The sequence below is a fragment of the Homo sapiens genome, chromosome 4 (genome assembly GCF_000001405.40).
Source record: "Homo sapiens chromosome 4, GRCh38.p14 Primary Assembly".
Lineage (NCBI taxonomy): Eukaryota > Metazoa > Chordata > Mammalia > Primates > Hominidae > Homo > Homo sapiens.
Genome location: NC_000004.12, coordinates 169,847,889 through 169,867,759, shown reverse-complemented (window position 1 = coordinate 169,867,759; position 19,871 = coordinate 169,847,889). Strand labels below are relative to the sequence as shown.

The 19,871-nt window shown below is 41.1% G+C and overlaps 1 long non-coding RNA gene across 1 annotated transcript; it reads left to right on the top strand.

The window, feature by feature from the left end:
• Positions 1–424: 424 nt before the first annotated feature.
• Positions 425–18,709, top strand: LOC124900810 (uncharacterized). Its single transcript, XR_007058362.1, has 2 exons — positions 425–487; positions 18,385–18,709. It is a non-coding gene; the product is annotated as an uncharacterized LOC124900810 (long non-coding RNA).
• The last annotated feature ends 1,162 nt before the right edge of the window (positions 18,710–19,871 follow it).

The window sequence follows — 19,871 nt, the reverse complement described above, 5'->3', positions numbered from 1 at the left end:
CATCCGGGCAATGAAAAGCAGTGCAAAATGGTCATAGGTTTGTGACTTAAAGAGGTAAAAGCCAACAATCGTCAGAAAAAAAATTAAGATTTTAGGAAAGTGAATAAGAATGGATTTTTAAGTGCTACGTTTTTAAAAGCAATGGATTCATCTCAATTAGCATCAACTTAAAGGATAATGTCTCAAGATGGACAGACTTTACCTTTTTGTGTTTTTTAAATCAGCCCCCTGAATCCTACTGTAAATTCCTTTAAAAACGTAACCCTGTGAGGATGAAGAGTATCACGTCAAGGTATTCTGTAAATTGCATGTAATTTCTCCTCACGCGGACGATGGACTGGAAAACTTGTGTTCTTCTGAGCTGTGGAAGTGGAGCCACGTTGCCAGGGAGACAGAGTGGTACCCGGAAGAGCCCCTCACCATCAACCTCCGCAAGTGCCTCTTATGATGAGGCGGCTGCGCGGCCAGCAGCAGCAATTCCAGCCAGGTAATCTGGGTGTAAATTACTCAAGTCGAGAATTTTTCATAGCAAATTTTTAAGCAGTCGAATCCCTCTTACACACACTTAGTCAGCAATACTGAGGAGAAATGTCTTGCTCCCTCCTGGTTTCCATGGGGAGGGATTTTTCCCAAGCCTCTCCCCACCGCTACTCCCTCCACCCTAGGGGAACTGGAGGAACTTAACTGATTGGTAAACTTGGGAAATGCAATGATCAATATCCACTCCATGATCTTGGATAAACTTGGGAAATCCAATGATCAATATCATAGCTTCACTCCTCAGAAGGAGCATAGCCTGCAGGAACTTCTCTTCCCCGCCTTAGTATTACCCTGGCAGAATTCGCAGAGACAACAGCCCTGGACCAGACTACCAGAGTCTGCGCTGGTGAATCAGACTAATCCTGAGATCTAGTTAGGACAGCCATTTTGCTTTCCGTTAAGATACATCCTCCAACTTGACCTCAATTTTGATATTTGAAAAGAATTTCATTTTCAATTCTGTTCATATTTGAACATAATTCATTTTTTAGACACTGCACATTTTTAAAATTTTATTAAATTATTGAGAGACGGGATGGAAAGGAGGGGTGATACTCATTGGGGGCCTCCTCGTATACCCTAACAAGGGTGCTCAAATATGATGAACTCTAAGCCAAATACCACATAAGTCAAAGAATCTTAACTCGATGTATTTGGTTGGGCCCCAAGAAGTCCCTGAACTCCCCGGAAATGTATGGAAATCTTTGCATGTAGTGAATTTTTCTTTCCCTAAGAAAAGTTTTAAAATGTCCACCTAATTGTTGACAGCAAAAAATGAAAATGCAAATGAATCACAATGCCAGGCATTTTCAGCAAACCTAACATTTTAGATTAATCTCATTATTTCAAAGGTTCAAACATATATGTAAAATAAATAATTGACTTAGCAGTGTTTATGAATGTAAGGCTTAGCTAAATGCCCCATGCAAGAAAGACTTTCTTATTATAATCAGCCTATAATGGTCGGTTTGTCTGATTTTATTTTTTTATGATGGCTCCTTGGCCAATTTATTACCATCATCAGGATAAATAAAATAGGGAGTTTTTTTTCTTAAATTCTGAGAGTTTAGGGAATGGTGTCTTGTGAGGAAAAGCCAAATATTGAACAGTTGGCTGCATACAAACATTTTACCAGGCAGACATGAAGAATAAAAAACTCCAAATCCTGCAAACTCTTGAATAGAACAAACACAGAGCCTATCTCCTTATGATTATTTCAAAAATTAGGTAAAACATAACTACATGTATATGCATGTACATAAAGTGCAAACGAAGTTCAAAGAGTGTCCTGTAAAACACTGCCGGCTTGCACCATGGGTAGGTCTAGATTGTACTGTTGAGAAATTAATACAAAAAGTTACCTCAAACCAGTGACAATCCAAGTGGAACCATTAGAAGAAAATCCCACATCACTCTGTAAGCCCAAATAAAAAACAAAATTAGCTAAAAAATAATAATAATAAGCCAGACATGAAAAAATGACAAACCTTACAAAGAAGCAATCCACCTTAAGGGAGAGACAGCAGATGTGACCAATGGGAAGAGTAATACCTCCAAGAATGCAAGGTAATAGGACAACCTGAGAAAGACTATGCAATCAGTATGTTTGAAATTATTCAAGGAAGGATAATAATAGCTGACGTTTATTTAGTGCTTGACTTGTAAAAATATAATCACTGACATTAATAGATTAAATGGCTCAGCTTTGAAGAAATTAACTAGAATTCAGCACAATGAATATGTAAGACAATATTAAAGAAGAGTTTAATTATGGAATATAGAATGAGAAATTCATATATGTATATTTGAGTTTCAAGGGAAAAATGTACTCAGAATTGAATAAAAAATCTAAGTCCTCAGATTTAAAGTGCTCTGAGTACGGAACAGGATAAATAAGAGTAAACCCACACCTGGACAAATGGGAGTGAAACTGAAGCTCAATATAAATAAAGAGAAAACCTTAAAAGTAAACACACAGCAAAAGACAGATTACCAGCAATGGTACAATAATTAGTTTCCAACTGCAATTTTCACAGTATCTTCAAAGTGCTAAAATTCTAGACCCAGTTAAGGTATCATTCAAGAATTAGATACAATAATAAAAATTTTCAGACAAACAAAATTGAAAGAAGTTATCATTTACAGATCCTTACAGAAAGAATTGGAGGCTGAAGAAAACTGGAGTAAAAAGAAAGAATTGGGCTGGGTGCGGTGGCTCACGCCTGTAATCCCAGCATTTGGGGAGGCTGAGGCTGGTGGATCACCTGAGGTCAGAGGTTCAAGACCAGCCTAGCCAACATGGTGAAACCCCATCTCCACTAAAAATACAAAAATTAGCCTGGCATGGTGGCTCATGCCTGTAGTCCCGCTACTTGGGAGGCTGAGGCAGAAGAATCACTTGAACCTGGGAGGCAGAGGTTGCAGTGAGCCGGGATTGTACCACTGCACTCCAGCCTGGGCAACAGAGTGAGACCCTGTCTCAAAAAAAATAAAAAATAAATAAATAAAAAGAAAGGATTGAGCTGAAGAAAATATGAGCATAGTAGTCGGTAAACATAAGGTAAATGTAGGTAAGTATTTTTTTTCTTTTCTTTTCTTTTTTTGTGAGACAGAGTCTCACTCTCTCACCCAGGCTGGAGTGCAGTGGCACGATCTTGGCTTACTACAACCTCCGCCTCCCGGGTTCAGGCAATTATCTTGCCTCAGCCTCCCAAGAAGCTAGGATTACAGGCATGCACCACCACGCCCGGCTAATTTTTTGTATTTTTAGTAGAGACAAGATTTCACCATGTTGGTCAGGCTGGCCTTGAACTCCTGACCTCAAGTGATCCACCCGCCTTGGCCTCCCAAAATGCTGGGATTATAGGCATGAGCCACCGTGCCTGGCAGGTAAGTATTTCCTGAAAGAAAAAAAAAAAGAAAAAACTTTGAAGAGAGGGCTAAAAATGAGGAAGACCTAAACTACTGCACATTTATCACACTGAAAATGGGATAGAGAAGGTAGAATTAAAGCACTAAGTTTGCCAGAAGGGATATTATTTTGGACTTTGTTAAGTCAATCATATGTATTTAAAATTTAAATATTAGCATAAAAATAGAAACAGAATGTATAACTTCAAAACCATAAAAAAGGAAAGAATAAAGGGAAGTAAGGAAAAAAGAAACAAAAATAAGCCAGGAAGAAGGTAAAATGGAAGCACAAGGTAGGTAATACAAATAAAACAAAATATATCAGTACTCCTAATAAATGAATGGATAAATTAATTCAGCAGTTCAAAGTAAGAATTTTTTTACTGATTTTTTTCAATCAGCTATATCTCAAAGGAGACACATCAAAAACATATGAATACAGAAAGGTTGAAAACAAGTTGATGGTCAAAGTACACTATGGCTTCTCCCAGAAATCACCAAAGGCTAAAGATTGTAGATGAGGCTGGGGTGGTGGCTCGCACCTGTAATCCCAGCACTTTAGGAGGCTGAGGCAGGAGGATCCCTTGAGTTTAGGAGTTCAAGGTCAGCCTGGGCAACATAGTGAGACCCCATCTCTATATTAAAAAAAAAAGACTGCAGATTATTTTGGCGGTAAGGACAAGCAGAGAGGGCAAGGATAGAGATAGGAATTGTTCTTGGACACCAAGCTGGGCCATCTGATTAAGGAACATGAAGGTCAAGTTCCTGAAAGAAATCTCTCGTTTGCTTCCCTGATTTCCTCCTGGACAAGGTCCTAAAGGTGGCATCCTTTCAGAGACATAAAAGGGGTAACTAGCCAGTTTCAAGGTATCTTTGGCTCTTGTGAATAATGACTTATTCATCCAGATATTGGGCACTCCAAGGAAGTAGCTACTGTCATTCATAATGCCATCGTCTCAGCAAGACATCATCTCTTTGAGGCAAGACTACTGGGGAAACAATGAGCAAAGTGGGTGCTGTGGCTCAGCTTGTGCATCTGATTCCTTCCCTTCTGTAGTGGTTGTCTCTGTCCTCCTGCCCAACAGGCTGCTGCTAGTGGACGGTATTGATTGCTGCCACTCTGGGTAGCTTGGCTGAAGCTACCTTGAACGTCATCTCTAAGGCACAACTTTTTCACTCTGATCTCTGCAAAGAGACTCAGTTTCCCAATCAGAAATTTCATGATCATCTTAAAGATCCAAGAATGACTGGAGTTTCATTGCAGAAAACTCAGGACCCTGCCATACCCACCATAGTGTTTTTATTACACCAGCAAAATTAAATACATTAAACCTAAATGGGTGGAAACTAGATATACCAGGCAAGTGTTAAACAATATAGACTTTCAGATTAAAAAAAAAAAAAGAGTAGGAAAGGGAAGGCTAAAATCATAATGATAAAGAGGAAAGTTTTACAAGAAAGATAAAACAACTTTGAGCCTATATGCATCTAAGATGTAGCTTCAAATTTTTCAAAACAAAAATTGGCAGAATTACAAAGAGAAATTGATCCATAGTCTCATAGAAATTTAACACACCTCTCTCAACAACAGATAAAACAAGCAGTTAATAACATAAATTATATATAAGAATTGGAAAACACTAAACCAGCAACTCACAAATAATCCCCTGAGAAGAATAGGCTAAGTTCTCCCCTTGTCTTATAAGAGAGAATTCAGAAATTGCTCGACTCCACGGGGACCAACCAAATGAGGCCAGAGCCTGGCTTGACCCTCAGAAGAAAAAACGGAAACCACAACACTTCAGCTAAGTTCCCAGACTCCAGGGAGCTGGTTCCAGACCCTCCAAAGAGCATGATACCTGCAGGTGAGGGCAGTGAGCCTCGCATTGACCAGTCTTGTCCTGTAGAAGTTGATGAGAAGGGCTGTATTGAGTGATTTTGATGTCCAAGCCAGACCCTGGTTGGTCACCTGAGTAGAGTGAATACTTCTGGGAAAGGAAAGCTTAGAATTTCTGCAGATCAGACTGAAGGGTTCTTTCCCATTTCTTTCCTCGAACCAGGATTACAGGGAACACTACACTCTCACAAGGTGTGAATTTGACTACTTAACACACCATAGCCTTCTTTCCTGATTCAGTCCACCCAGCCTCCCACAATACCTCATCCATAACCAGGAAGACGCTAATGAGCTCTGAGAACAGTCTCTAAACACATGTTGAAATTAACAGCTAATGTGGGTTAGTTCTGTTAAGGATCCCACAGATGCAGAGAAATGTACTCAGTTTTCAGACAGAAGGCATGAGAGGAATTGAGTTTGGATGCTCTACTCCTACACACACAAAGGTGAGCATCTATCTCCAAACTCAGGTTATAGGAAATTAGGACAGAGAGAGATTTAATGTCTGGGTGAGCCAGGGAGCTGCACAGCCAAGATTAGAACTCCAGGCTCCCAAAGCCATCTCCTCCCCGTTACACTGCTGCCTTTTCCTGTTTTTCCACTCAGGCTAATCATTACATGAAATTTGAGAACCAGTCACCAGGCTGAAGGTTATAAAGCCTTCAGGTAACTAAGGACCCTGTTTATAAAGAGCCAAGAGGATGCAATCTATACTTAAAATACTTCCCCATATGTGAAATACACAGATGTGAGCTCCAGCAGTTTGGATTAATAGTCTGATTCATCTTGTGTCTAGCTGATAACTTCATCAAAATGACACATATTGTGAGAGAAGCATGCTGAAGGTTTTTAAAATTTGTTTTTAGCTTTTAACTCTTCAACAAAAGTCACTGCTTAAAATGGCAAGAAATGAATCAATCAATCAACAAACCAGTTCAAAACCTACATATGCAGAGTCTTAAAATAGGTATTTATTTATAATTTTGAGAACATGTAATGGAAAAAAGATATCTTTTGTAAGAACTAAGGCACTTATCCTTCCTGTAAAGGGCTAGGCTAAGGACATGTTCATTATAGCAGTTGGTTTGTTCTGCTAGATACTCACGTGTTGCATGTTCATTTCTGCTATTTGTTCTTTTGATGCACTGCCGCAGCAATTTCTATAACTTCTTCTATAAAGGGCCAGTTAGGAAATATTTTCAGCTTTATGGACCATACAATCTCCATGGCAATTACTCAGCTTTGCCACAGTAGCGAGGAAGCAGCCATGGTGTCTGAACAAATGAGCATGGCCAGATTTGGCTTGCCACATCTCTGCTCTACAGGACAAACCGCATTGTATGGCAGCAGGGGATAGCTGGCTGGATGCAGTATATAGTCCAGACCAGTTGACTGATATTTTTGTTTGCAAGTAAATGGAATCTCTTTTTTGTGTGTTTGTTTTGCTCTGTTTTTTTGACAGAGTCTCTCTCCATTGCCCCGGCTGGAGTGCGGTGACACGATCATGGCTCATTGCAGCCTCAATCTTCTGGGCTCAAGTAATTCTCTCACCTCAGCCTCTTGAATAGCTGGGAGTACAGGTGCACACCACCATGCTCAGCTAATTTTTTTTAATTTTTTTATTTTTTATAGAGACTGGATCTCCCTATGTTGCCCAGGCTGGTCTCAAACCCCTGGCCTCAAGCAATCCTCCTGACTCAGGCCCCCAAATTGCTGGGATTATACAAGTGAACCATCATGCCCTGCCTAAGTCTCTTTTCTGTATAACTTATTTGTATGCCCTGTTTCACCAAGAAGAGTGTGAGCTCCTGGATGAGGGGGACAATATTAATTTAATACTCTCCCAGAAGTTCATACCAGACGATATGCTCTGGAGGAAGATGCGTGAGCCTAACTGTGAAACAGATCAGAATTCAAGTCCTGGTCTTGCCGTTCATTCGCTGTGTGACACTGGACAAGTTATGCACCCTGAGCCTCCATTTCCTCATCTGTTAAAAGGGAGATCATATCTACTTCGTAGAATTGTTGTGAGGCTGACATAAGGTGAAGCACCTAGTAACTGAGTTGTCCAGTTCCAGGCCAAAGCCCTACGTGTGGCCTTTCGAGCCTGACCATGGGCCGGTACAAGGTTTTACGGGCAAGGCCCCTGGCAGAGAGCTGCCCACTGCACACAGACTCGGTGCACTGCCAGTGCCGTGCAATTTTCTGGAGGGAGTCAAAGTTGAGGACAGAGGATCCCACACCCCTCCCACCGGCCTCCTCTGGGCCAGCGGTGCTCACTGTGACATCATTCTAGGTGCCTCCGTTCAGAGGCCTCCTTGCTTCCCAGGAGCTTCCACTGAGACCTTCTTATCCAGAGGCTTTGGCTGAGGCACATTCCTCCACTTGGAATCAGCACTTTCCCACTGCTGGCCCTTCCCCCGCTCCCCTCTCCTGGCCCTCCTGGGTCCACAAGAAGCTTTTGACTGAGGACTCATGGGCAGTCAGTCATACAACTCCCCTCATCTGGGCTGTGTGCCACCTGACCCTCACCCCGTGCTGTTCCGTGGGGGGAAATGGAACACCGGGAGCCAGCACTTTCTTTTTGCCTCTTTCTTTAGCAGTTGCAGTCCGTGAAAAAAAAAAAAAATGGATATCACTTTCAGTTTGGCTCATTGTATTCATTGACCACAATGACCCCTGAAAGTATCTGAAAAAATAATAATAATAATAATTCCCAACAGTATTGCTCTTAGAAATGGGGAAGAGGGGCCCTGCATGCCATCAACATATAAACAACAGTGAGGTGGTGCCGTAGCTCCTGCTCAGGGCACTCATTAAAGATGTCTTAAACAGCACCTGGCTGGGCGTGGTGCCCACGCCTGTAATCCCGGCACTCAGGAGGCCGAGGTGGGCAGATCACTTGAGTCCAGGAGTTGGAGATCAGCCTGGCCAACATGGTGAAATCCCATCTCTACTGAAAAAAAAAAAAAAAAAAGGAAAAAAAGAAAATTAGTTTGGCTTGGTGGCATGCACCTGTAGTCCCTGCTACTCGGGAGGATGAGGCAGGAGAATCACTTGAACCCGGAAGGCAGAGGTTGCAGTGAGCCGAGATCACACCACTGCACTCCAGCCTGGGCGACAGAGCGAGACTCTGTCTCAAAAATAAATAAATGAATAAATAAACAGCATCTGATGACGGTTGAAAAATTACCTATCAGGTACAGTAATCACTATTTGGGTACTGAGTACACTAGAAATCCAGTTCCCACAGCATGCAATATACCGTGTAACAAACAAGCACATGTACCCCTTGAATCTAAAATTTTTTTAAATAATAATTTTTTAAAAAGAGTGCCTGACATCTCTGTCTCTCAGCACCTGTTGGCACAGTGTGACCTGTAACTCTGAACTTCCACTCTCATTTTTGCATAAACATAAATCTGCGGACTTCGAAATATTGTGTCCATTTTCTTCTCTTTGTGTTCCAAATTATGAGATCAGAGGAATACATGAATTAATATGGTATGTGTGTCAGGTGCACACAGAGGCTACGGGACATCTGCCGTATCAAAAAATGTATATTACTCTTACATTTGTATATACAGAATACACATAAATGAAACACACATGAAGGATGATACAGATTCTTGATATTACTATGTGTTTCTACATACTGGTTTGAGAGACAGTGAAAACCACAGTGCAAATGATAGCAGCATAACCGTTGAATTTAAAATGTTTTATAATGTTTTTTGTGCTAATGATAATGTATTGTATGTGACCCTATTATAATATCTGAACAAGAAAGGTAAAATTCATGGTTTATTTCCAAATCCAAGTGTTTACTGTTGAAGAGTTTTATTACAAATCCTAGTTACTATCATTTCAGCAAGGTTTATCTAAACTGAATAAAAATTAAAGGATGAAAAATGAATTTAAAATTAATGTAGTAATAAAGACCACCTGAGAATAGAAATTAAATAATGAAAAATTGAGTAAAAAATAAATGAAAAAGACTACCCAAGAGGCTGGGCGCAGTGGCTCACACCCATCATTCCCATACTTTGGGAACCTGAGGCAGGAGGATTGCTTGAGACCAGTAGTTCTAGACTAGCCTGGGCAACATAATGAGACCCATCTCTATAAAAAGTATTAAAAATTAGCTGGGTATGATGGTACACTTCTGTGGTCCAAGCTATTTGGGAGGATGAGGTGGGAGGATTGCTTGAGTCCAAGGGGTTGAGACTGCAGTTAGCCATTATCGTACCACTGCACTCCAGTCTCAGTGACAGAGAAAGACCTTGTCTCAAAAAACAAACGAACAAATAAAAAAAAAAAAAACTACCTAAGAACCAAAGTGATTGAGAAAGTTTGTCTAATTTCAATGTCAACTGAATTATATAAAAGTCTTCATTAAAACAAAATAATCAGTGATTTTGCTGAAATGATAGAAGAAATAAATAAGTTATGTGAGATAGGTAATAGTTTATCAGTTGGGAATGTCTTTATTCTTCATCCAGACTTCTAAACATAGCCAGTCAAGAGAATATCCACACATAATTCCAGTATCTTTGAAACTTTGCTGGCTTCAAGTCCTATAAAAGTATAAATGTGCAAGCATTTTTAAAATTATTTTAAAAGTAAAGATGAGGCCTTACTACATTGCCCAGACTGGTTTCAAACTCCTGAGCTCAAACAATCCTCCTGTCTCAGCCTCCCAAAGTGCTAGGATTACAGGTATGAGCCACCATGCCAGGCTGCAAGCATTTTTAAATTTTGTTATTACAAATGTATATTTGTAAAAACAGTAAGATAGCACTTTTTGAAACTGTGGTAAAAGACACATAATATGAAATTTACCATCTTACCCATTTTTAAGTGTACAGTTCAGTCATGGTAACTATATTCACGTGGTTGTGCAACCAGTCTGTAGAATTCTTTTCATCTCACAAAACTAAAACTCTCTACTCACTAAACAACTCCCCACCTCCCCCTCCTCCCAGCCCCTGGCAACCACCATGCTACTGTGAAAGGAAAATAAATCTTGAAACCCCGAAATCACTAAGCCAACTGGAAAAGTCAAGCTGGGAACTGTGTAGGGCAGGGATCCCCAGCCCCCCAAACCACAGACTGGTACCAGTCCATGGCCTGTTAGGAACTGGGTGGCACCACTGGAGGTGAGCCGTGGGTAAAATATTAATTACCACCTGAGCTCCACCTCCTGTCAGATCAGCCAAGGCATTAAATTCTCACAGGATCACGAAGCTTATGGTGAACTGCACATGCAAGGGATCTAGGTTGCACACTCCTTATGAGAATCTCATGCCTGATGATCTGAGGTAGAACAGTTTCATCCTGAAACCAATCTCCTCCCACCCATGAAACTGGTTCCTGGTGCCAAAAAGGTTGGGGACCACTGGCATAAGGCAAACCTGCCTCCCAGTCTATTCCTCAGTAAGACAGCTACAAAGATTTAAAAAGCTATACACCTCCCTCAAAAAGCTATGTACCTTGTGGACAAAGGATGGGCAGAACTCCAAGTCATCCCTCTGCTCATGTGAGACAAATGCATATTTGATGCTTCCTTTGCTTTGTTGTTTCACTGTGCCAGACTAAGGCATAAGTGACTATTCCAGCAAATTGTGCACTCAGTGAAAGGCTAATCAGAAACTCAAAAGAATGCAACTGTTGTCTCTTATCTATCTGTGACCTGGAAGCCCCCTCCCCGCTTTGAGTTGTCCCACCTTTCCCAACTGAACTCATGTACATCTTACATATATTGATTGATGTCTCATGTCTCCCTAAAATGTATAAAACCAAGTCGTGCCCCAACCACCTTGGGCACATGTTGTCAGGACCTCGGGAGGCTCAGTCAACTTTCTAAATTGATTGAGACCTGTCTCAGATACTTTTTGGTTTACACTACTTTCTTTCTCTCTATAAATCAGACTACTCTAGGTACCGCATGTAAGTGGAATCCTACAGTATTTGTCTTTCCATGACTGACTTCTTCATTTAGCATAAGACCGCCAAGTTCATCCACATTGAAGCATGCGACAGAATCGTTCCTTTTTCAGGCTGAATAATATTCTGTTGTAAATCACATTTTGTTTATCCATTCATCTATCCACAGACATTTGGGTAGTTTTCACCTTTTGGCTATTGTGAATAATGCTGTTAAGGAACATGAATAGACAAATATCATTTAAAGACTCTGCTTTCAGTTCTTTGGGGTACAGAAGTAGATTATTGGATAATATGGTAATTCTATTTTAATTTTATAGCAGCACACCATTTTACATGCTCACCAACAATGCACAAGGGTTCCAGTTTCTCCACATCCTTCCCAGCACTTGCTATTTTCTGCTTTTTTGTTTGTTTTCTTTTTTGTTAGTAGCCGTCCTAATGGGTATGAAGTGATATTTTATGTGGCTTTGATTTGCATTATCTTAATGATTTGTGATGCTGAGCATCTTTCCATGTGCTTGTTGGGAATAGCACATATTTTATTTAAATTTGTCAATTTGATTTATAACTTTTACATATTTAGACATACAACATATGGGCCTCCATTTGAAATCTTGCCTTGAACCCTGCCAATGTTAGGCGCAGGCCTGATAACCAACCCTTCCCAGAGCCTTTTATTACCCAGTAAAATATTAATTAACCACATAAAGTACAGTCATCCCTTGGTATCCTTGGGAGACTGGTGCCAGGACCCCCCATCCCATCCCCATGTATGACAAAATTCATACATACTCAAGTTCTGAAGTCAGCCCTGCAGAACCTCACTCTATTTTCATCTGTGCATTAATTGGACCCTTGAAGTTCAAACCCAATTTGTTCAAGGGTCATTTGTAGTTCGGGTAGAAAGAAGCATTAGACAGAGGCAGCTGATTCTACTAAAAATTTTTTATTTCAGGTCAGGCACAGTGGCTCATGCCTATAATCCCAACATTTTGGGAGGCCAAGGCAGAAGGATTGCTTGAGCCCAGGAGTTCAAGACCAGCCTGGGCAACATAGTAAGACCTCATCTCTACAAATAATTTAAAAATAGCAACTAATGATGGTGCACACCTGTAGTCCTAGCTACTCAGTAGGCTGAGGCAGGAGGATCGCTTGAGCCCGGGAGTTCAATGCTACAGTGCACGGTGATCATGCCATTGCACTCCAACCTGGGTGATAGAAGGAGACCCTATCTCAAAAAAACAAAAACAAAAACATTTTAACCAAAGAAGATAAAACTAAGAATAGTCTGCTTCTATGACTTTGCTATTCCACATGTGGTCGCTGGACCAGCAAGAAGTGTAACAGAAATGCAGAATTTCCAGCCCCACTGTACATGTACTGAATCAGGATGTACATTTTAACAAGCTCACCAGGTGATTTGTATGAGCTCTGAAGTTCAAGAGGCACTAGTCTGTGTATTCATACAGGTAGCTGCAGGCCTAAAACCAAACAACTTAAATAACAGTATAAGTCACATTTATTGAGCACTTACTATGCATCAAGACTCAGGCTAAAGGCTTACCACATATTACTTGATCTTTACAACAAAAGTATAAGGTGAGTGAGAAAACTGGCACTCAGAAAGGTTACTTGCACAGTGTCATAGCTAGTAAGTGGTAGAACTAGGATTTAAATTCAGGCAGTCTGAAAATAGGGTCAGATGAACATCACGTGATATTTCTTCTAAAAGAATAAATGGCACCAGCTGTGTACCATTGTGTCCCCTGATACGATACCTACAAAGCACATTGCCACTACCTATTGGTGGTCTCCTATGTCAGGCACTTTACAATATTATTTTTCATCTTAAAAAAGAAAAAGATTAGAAGAGAGTCTTTTTATTTTCCTTTTACAGAGAGGTTAAATTATTTGTAGATGTCCCATAATTAGAAGCTGGAGCCCAAATTCGAACCCAGATTAACTCCAAACTCTGCTTGTTCCATCAAGCTGTTTCCCCTGCCGCCTTCTCATTACTGAGTCCCTCAGGTCTCAGGGAAACACTCAGCTTCCTTTCACAGTCTCCCCCCATCAGGCTGGTAGGAGTATGGTTAAAATGTTGAACTGACAGGACAGCTATGAGACAGCAAGGTCTGGAGAGAACCCAGAACAAAGCTTGCAACCTGGCAGGTGGCCAGGTGCACCGTGAGGAGTGGAATTCCTTTATTTGTACCTTAGCCTTGAAAGCGGCTGTTGAGCCCTGGAGCCACCAACCAGGGAGACACATTCTGATGGCTTCATCTCCTAATTCTATGTGTGCTGCCTCTGTGCTTCTCAACCTGAGTTTCTGCATTGATATTTTCAGGAGAAAGAAGGTTCCAAAAGAATGTTTCTAACTCTGTATTTTCATGTTTATGATAACTTTAAAATTTTCGTATAAGCATAGGCTGGATCGTTAGGATAAGTGCATTATAGTCAAGCAATCCATGAGATTTTTCAGGGTTGTGTGTGCATTCACAGTCCCATTTGTGTTGCTAGGTGGTCATCAAGTGGCAACATTTAGGGCTAAATGCACTGCTTCTCAAGCACTGTGGACATGTGTTCTCAGGGGTCTTCAAGTTCTCACATAAGCCCCTCAGTTTTCTTCTCTACCTGTAGGCAGGAATACTAACTCCATTCTTCCCTTAGAAGCATTATATAGAGCATCATCAGAATTCAAAAGCATTCTGTAAGATAGTAGAAATATAGTGGTACTGTCTTCCTACATCATATTGTTAACCAAGAAGTGACTGTTTCAGTCCATTCTTGCACTACTGTAGAGAAATACCTGAGACGGGGTAATTTATAAAGAAAACAGTTTTAATTCACTCATGGTTCTACAGGCTATACAGGAAGCATAGCAGCTTCTGCTTCTGGGGAGTCCTCAGGAAATTTCCAATCAAGGTGGAAGGCAAAGGGGGAGTGAGGCACTTCACATGGTCAGAGCAGGAGGAAGAGGGGCTGGGGAGGTGCTAAACACTTTTAAACAACAAGATCTCACAGGAACAGCACCACAGGTATGGGGCTTAACCATTCATGAAGAATCCACCCCTATGATCCAATTACCTCCCACCAGGCCTCCTGCAACTGTGGGGATTACAATTGAACATGAGATTTGGTGGGGACACAGATCCCAACCATATCAGTGACTGAGACACACAATAGAGGTTTATTTAGCCAAAGTTTGAGGGAGCACCTGGGAGAAACACAAGTCACAGGAACCTCTGTGACCTGTGCTTTTTCCAAAGGGGGTTTTTGGAACTTCAACATTTAAAGGAGAAAGAGTAAGCAGGAGGGGAAAAAGAGAGGAAGGGTAGGCAGTGAGGCAAACTCTTGGGAGGCTCTGGTTAGCCTCGATAAATCTACATTTTACATGTGGAAAGAGAGGGTAGAAGAAAAAGTCAATTGTATTTTGTCTTCTGCTCAGTAAATCTACCTTTTACACAAGAAAAAGTAAACATGTGCATTCATTTCAGGTTGGGTGGAGGGATGATTTCTGGTCTTGTCCTATACCTGTGAAGATAAGTTGGTAATTGACATCGTCAGGTGCTATTGAACCGAGATCCAATAGAACTTGGTTTGAGGGCTAGTTTATAAGGGGGATATATCTCCTGAAAGATTGAGGGGCTCACAAGGAATTTCCTTGTGGGCAGTTTGTGAGGGAGGCCATCTGAGGAGATATGTGGCCTTCCCACATTGTGGGAACCTGGCTTTTATGGATGAGGCTGTGACACAGGGTTGTGAAATCACAGTTATCTGTTTGGGAACAAAAGGAAGGCAGTGTGTGTGACTCAGTTCCTAAGCTTAACTTTCCATTTGGCATAGTGAGTTTGGGGTCCTGAGATTCTATTCTCTTTCACAATATGCATTCTGTATTCCAACACTATAGGAATATTTTAACTGGGAAAATGTAGAAGTTCAAAAGGTGACAATTTAACTGCCATGAATCTAAATCTTACCTAAAAGAGTTAACCACTGAGGAGGGATGGAGGTGAATTTTTCTCCAGTTCTGAGACTTTCCTGTAAGTGGAGAGCAGAGGGAGCTCCCTAGGGGAAACACTCCTGGCCCCTTCTGCTGGTGTGGAAGGATCAGCCAGTGAGGCACAGCCCTGGCACGGCCCACCTCTCCACACTCCCAGCTCCAGCCTGACTTCAGAGAGCTTGCCTTGTGTTCTGTTCCTCTTTGTGGGAAATTTTACAGGGTTAGGCTCCGGACTGGGTGGTTTGGTCTGATCATCATGGGGTTCAGTATTCCATCAAGCCCACTTTTCATGGACATAGGCTACATTCCCCAGTATCAGTTGATATTTGGAACTCCCATTTGCCTTACTCTTTTGCTATATTTCCCTATTGTTTCCAAAGTTGGTCTGAGAAGCGGGATACATTTTTTCAGGCCCCTCACTCCCGATTTTAATTTACAATAATATTTATTGAAAATAGTTTTTATTAATACCTATTTAAATAATTTAGATATATTTAAATAGTATTTATTTTGAAAATAGGTAATATATTTATTTTAAATAATGTTTTCAATTAATACATATTTAATATAATATAGATTAATCATTTTAATAAAATTTAAAGATATCAAGAAAAGAATCCTAAATCGGTGAATCAGTTGATGGAAGGCCTTAAGATTTTCTCCACACAGCTCTGCTAAGGACAATGGCTGAGAAAGGATTCCAGTATCTGGTTACAAAATATGGCAGCACAGCTCCCCTCAGCTCCCCTCATCTTAAGCTATGTTATCACATATAGTGGTGGTAACTCTCCACTCACATCCACGCAAGGCATTTGTTGGCTTGCTAAGAGGGTATAACAGATACAACTTTGACTTTTGTCAAAGTAAATGACTTGTTCAACATAGGCTACAAAGTTATAACCAATATATGTGGAGTGCACCTGCTTCACAATCCAGTGATGGGGGGAAGCTTGTTCTATGGTAATTACTGTGATTTTCAGGGTGTCTCAAGTGTATGGTACAGAGTTTATAAACCCAGTATGACAAGGCAGAAAGCAAGCAATGGTTTGTCAAAACAATGTTCCAGGTTTTATTTGTATGCTTGCTGATTACTAAGATTAAAGGGCATTATGTAACTAGTATTTTTTCCAATTAAAGAAAACAATGTGTCTTTCAATATCTAAAGCATGAAGATATGTTAGTTTGGTTAGGATAAGGATGATCTGAAGACTGAGGGCCATATAGCTGAGATCAGAGGTCACACTGCCAAGAAGCAAAAGGCAAGACATTAAAAGCCTGCTTGATCAATGAAAACACTCTGCCACGGTTTCATTTTTCTCTCGGATGTTATGGAAAAGATAAGGTGAAATTGAGAAAGCTGAAACTTCTGGTGTCTATGGCAGAGATGCAATATGCTATATAACATTAGGGGACACACTCATATCTTCGCAATTTGTGAGCAGTCGGGGAAAAAACTTATTTTGGTGCTGCTAAGATGACAGAGTGCATGAGAAGTGGGAGAAAGACTAAAAGTAAGCAATGAACACTTAAGGAAAAAGGTTTCCAAAGGATTTCTCTTTTACAGATAATCAATTTGAGGGGAAAGGAGGTCATTCTCACTGTAGCTGAAGTCCCTCAACTCATTTATTCCCAAATGACTCAGAAAGCTTCTGGGCTCTCACGCCTACCAAACGGGCCATCAGAGATTGCTGAGAATGACAAGCTAATTCCAATATTAGCCAGAGTGATAGGTAATTAGCAAGGTAAATCAGCTTGAAGAATGATGTACAATGCATTCTCCATCAAATATAAATGATTTTTCAAATATACATAACACATTTTTCCTTTTGCCAGCTCTAGCTTCAAGCTTCCAATCCTTATATAAATACTGCTTGTGTCAGAGATCTACACGTAGATAAGGATACCTAGTTTTTATTGAATATGTTGGCACTTCTATTTATCTCATTTCATCCTTATCACAATTGCTTAAGGTAGATTTTATGTCCACTTAACAAGTGAGGAAAGTGAGCCTCTGAGAGATTTGGAAAGCTGACTAAAGACAAGTTAAGTAGTAAATAGAACCAGGGTTCAAGCCCAAGGCTACTGAGGCCAAAGTTTATGCACTTTCAACTCTGTCACAAGCAACTGTAATGTTGGCTAGTGATGGCTCTACTGTCTGTCACTAAATGATGTTGACTTCCTGATAGGAAATATACAACAGGTAAATTGCCTATCAGCTACATATTGACTCCTGCTCAAAAGAGGATTTCAGTCTCAAATTAAAAAAATTGTAGAAGAAATGCTTGAATACACTGCATGTGTGAAACGCATAAAACTCGGGAAAAATGGAAACCAAGGGACTGGTTTTCTTGTGCTGTTCTTTCCTTAGCAGAATTAGGACAATAACTTGATTTCCTCCCCACCATGCAGAGCCTTCTTTCAACCTCTGGCCATAGAAGAGTCTCCAGCACAGATAGACCAGCTGTCTTCAAAGAATCAGTTCTACTGAGTCTCCTCAGTTTCCCCAGAAGTTCCTCAACCCCTGTTTAGGGCAGAGTTTCCATTCAGAAAGAGCTTAGGGGCAGCAGTCTTATCTGAAAGAGGGGACTGAGTCTTCAGGATCATAGCACTTTACATAAGATGGAAAAGGATCACTGTATATATCAGAAAGAAGGGTTTGGAGACCCTGGGTCTCCTTCCTGTGAGGGCCTTAGCTCTCACCTCTGCTCCCCTTCCTTTACTTGCTGCTGCCTGTCCTCCACTCAGGGCCTGACTTGTTTTTCTTGCTCAAGTATTTATGTTCCCAGGCTTGTTCAGACATTGAGAGAAAACGAGGTCAGAGTGTATGTGGCTGGCTCCAGGCCCCACCCTAGACTTGGTTTTCTGTTCTTTTTCAAAAACAGGTAGCTCAGCCTGCAGGGACTGACAACGCCTAGAGAAAGAGTCACTTTTCCATTCACTTCTTTCCACACTTTAGGGTTATTTTAAATCTTGATTATCACTGATCTGCCTATTTTTATTATGAGACAGTTGCTTTCACACACTAAGAACACTGAGGCTGTCCTCCTAGCACGATGTGTCAAAAGACCAAAGTCTTCTTCTCTTACAGCTGCCACCACCGATGCCCTCTTTCTTCTGTCTTCAGCTTGTACCTGATCATGTGAAAGGCTGTGGGTCAGACCTCTCTTCCAGCACACGCATGACAGGGGTCTACATGGGACCCCACTACCAGCCAGCCACTACTGAGCTATCACGTGGCCTTGGCCAAGCCGCTGACCTCCTTTAGGGCTCAGTGGCCCCATCTGTCAAATGGACATATTAATAGTTCTCATCTTACAGAGTCGTTATGAGGATGACATGAAGGAATCCATGTAAGATACTTAGCTCAGTACCTGGAATTTGCATGTGTTCAATAAATGACCATTGCACTGCTATCATCACTCCCACATGGCTTTTTTCTAGTCTCTTCTTGCAAAAGACCTGAGAGCTACAGCGTTCAGAGCTTAATGAATGTTCAATAATAACGCATGTCTTCTATGAAAAGAGCTCGGTGAGCACGAGCTAGTTTCCCATGAAATGAGGCTTTCTACTGGGGCTCCTTAGGGACATGTTGTAATGAGGGGCCACAGTCACACAGAGATGAGTGTCTTTAGTTCTGTCAAGATCTCCAGCCCTGTGAAAGTCAATCTTTGACCTACTCTGATCCCTAAAATCCCTTTACACAAGGGCAAAGTCCTTCATCCTTTCCTTGAAGATAATGCTTAAGTTGTAAAAGTTCTCTTTCTGCACACACCTCTTTGCCACAGCATCATGAACACAGGTGACATTTTTCTTTCTCCTAAAATTCATCTCGGCACCACCAAGTAAATATAGACACAGTGGGAGCCCTGAGAGGGGAAAATTATATATTGCACTTTATCTGTCTGAATATTTAAACAAAGAGGGTTGCATCTCTCTTCCCCGATGTTCCCTCTACACGTGATGGCAGAATGTCCTGCACTTTTCTAGTCAGGGTTAACCCCACAGGAACATAAACAAGGAGAGAGGTTGACAGTTCTATGAGGGTCATGCAAGGAGGAAAATGTTGTCTCACAAAAAGATACAAGGTATTCTCCCAGCCAACCCTGAAGATCTCTGTATTAGTGACCCAATGTTGAACGAAGCGGAGATTCAAAGCAGAAGGAAGCTGAGGCCCACAGAATGAAGTGAGCCAGCTAGGGCAGGCATGGCAGGGTGGGGCACCCAAGGGCAGAGCAAACAACGGGAACAGGGAAACAGGAGGGGGAAAATGGGAGACTCCTGGGACCTATGAGCTCTGCACCATTCAGATTGTCACATAATCCCAAGCCCTGTGAGTACACAGATTTGCACACGTTATTGCAAGCCCTTCCCTGGGAAACTTGTACCAGGACACCTTGGCAGGGTCTGATAAAACTCGTCACAAAAGTAGCTCACCTATATTAGGTTGGTGCAAAATTAATTGTGGTTTTGCCATTGTAATGCCAACCTAATATAAAAATTAATTTTCTATATTAATTACTTAATATAGAACTACTTTTGCACCAACCTAATATAGAAATTGATTCTATGAGGCTG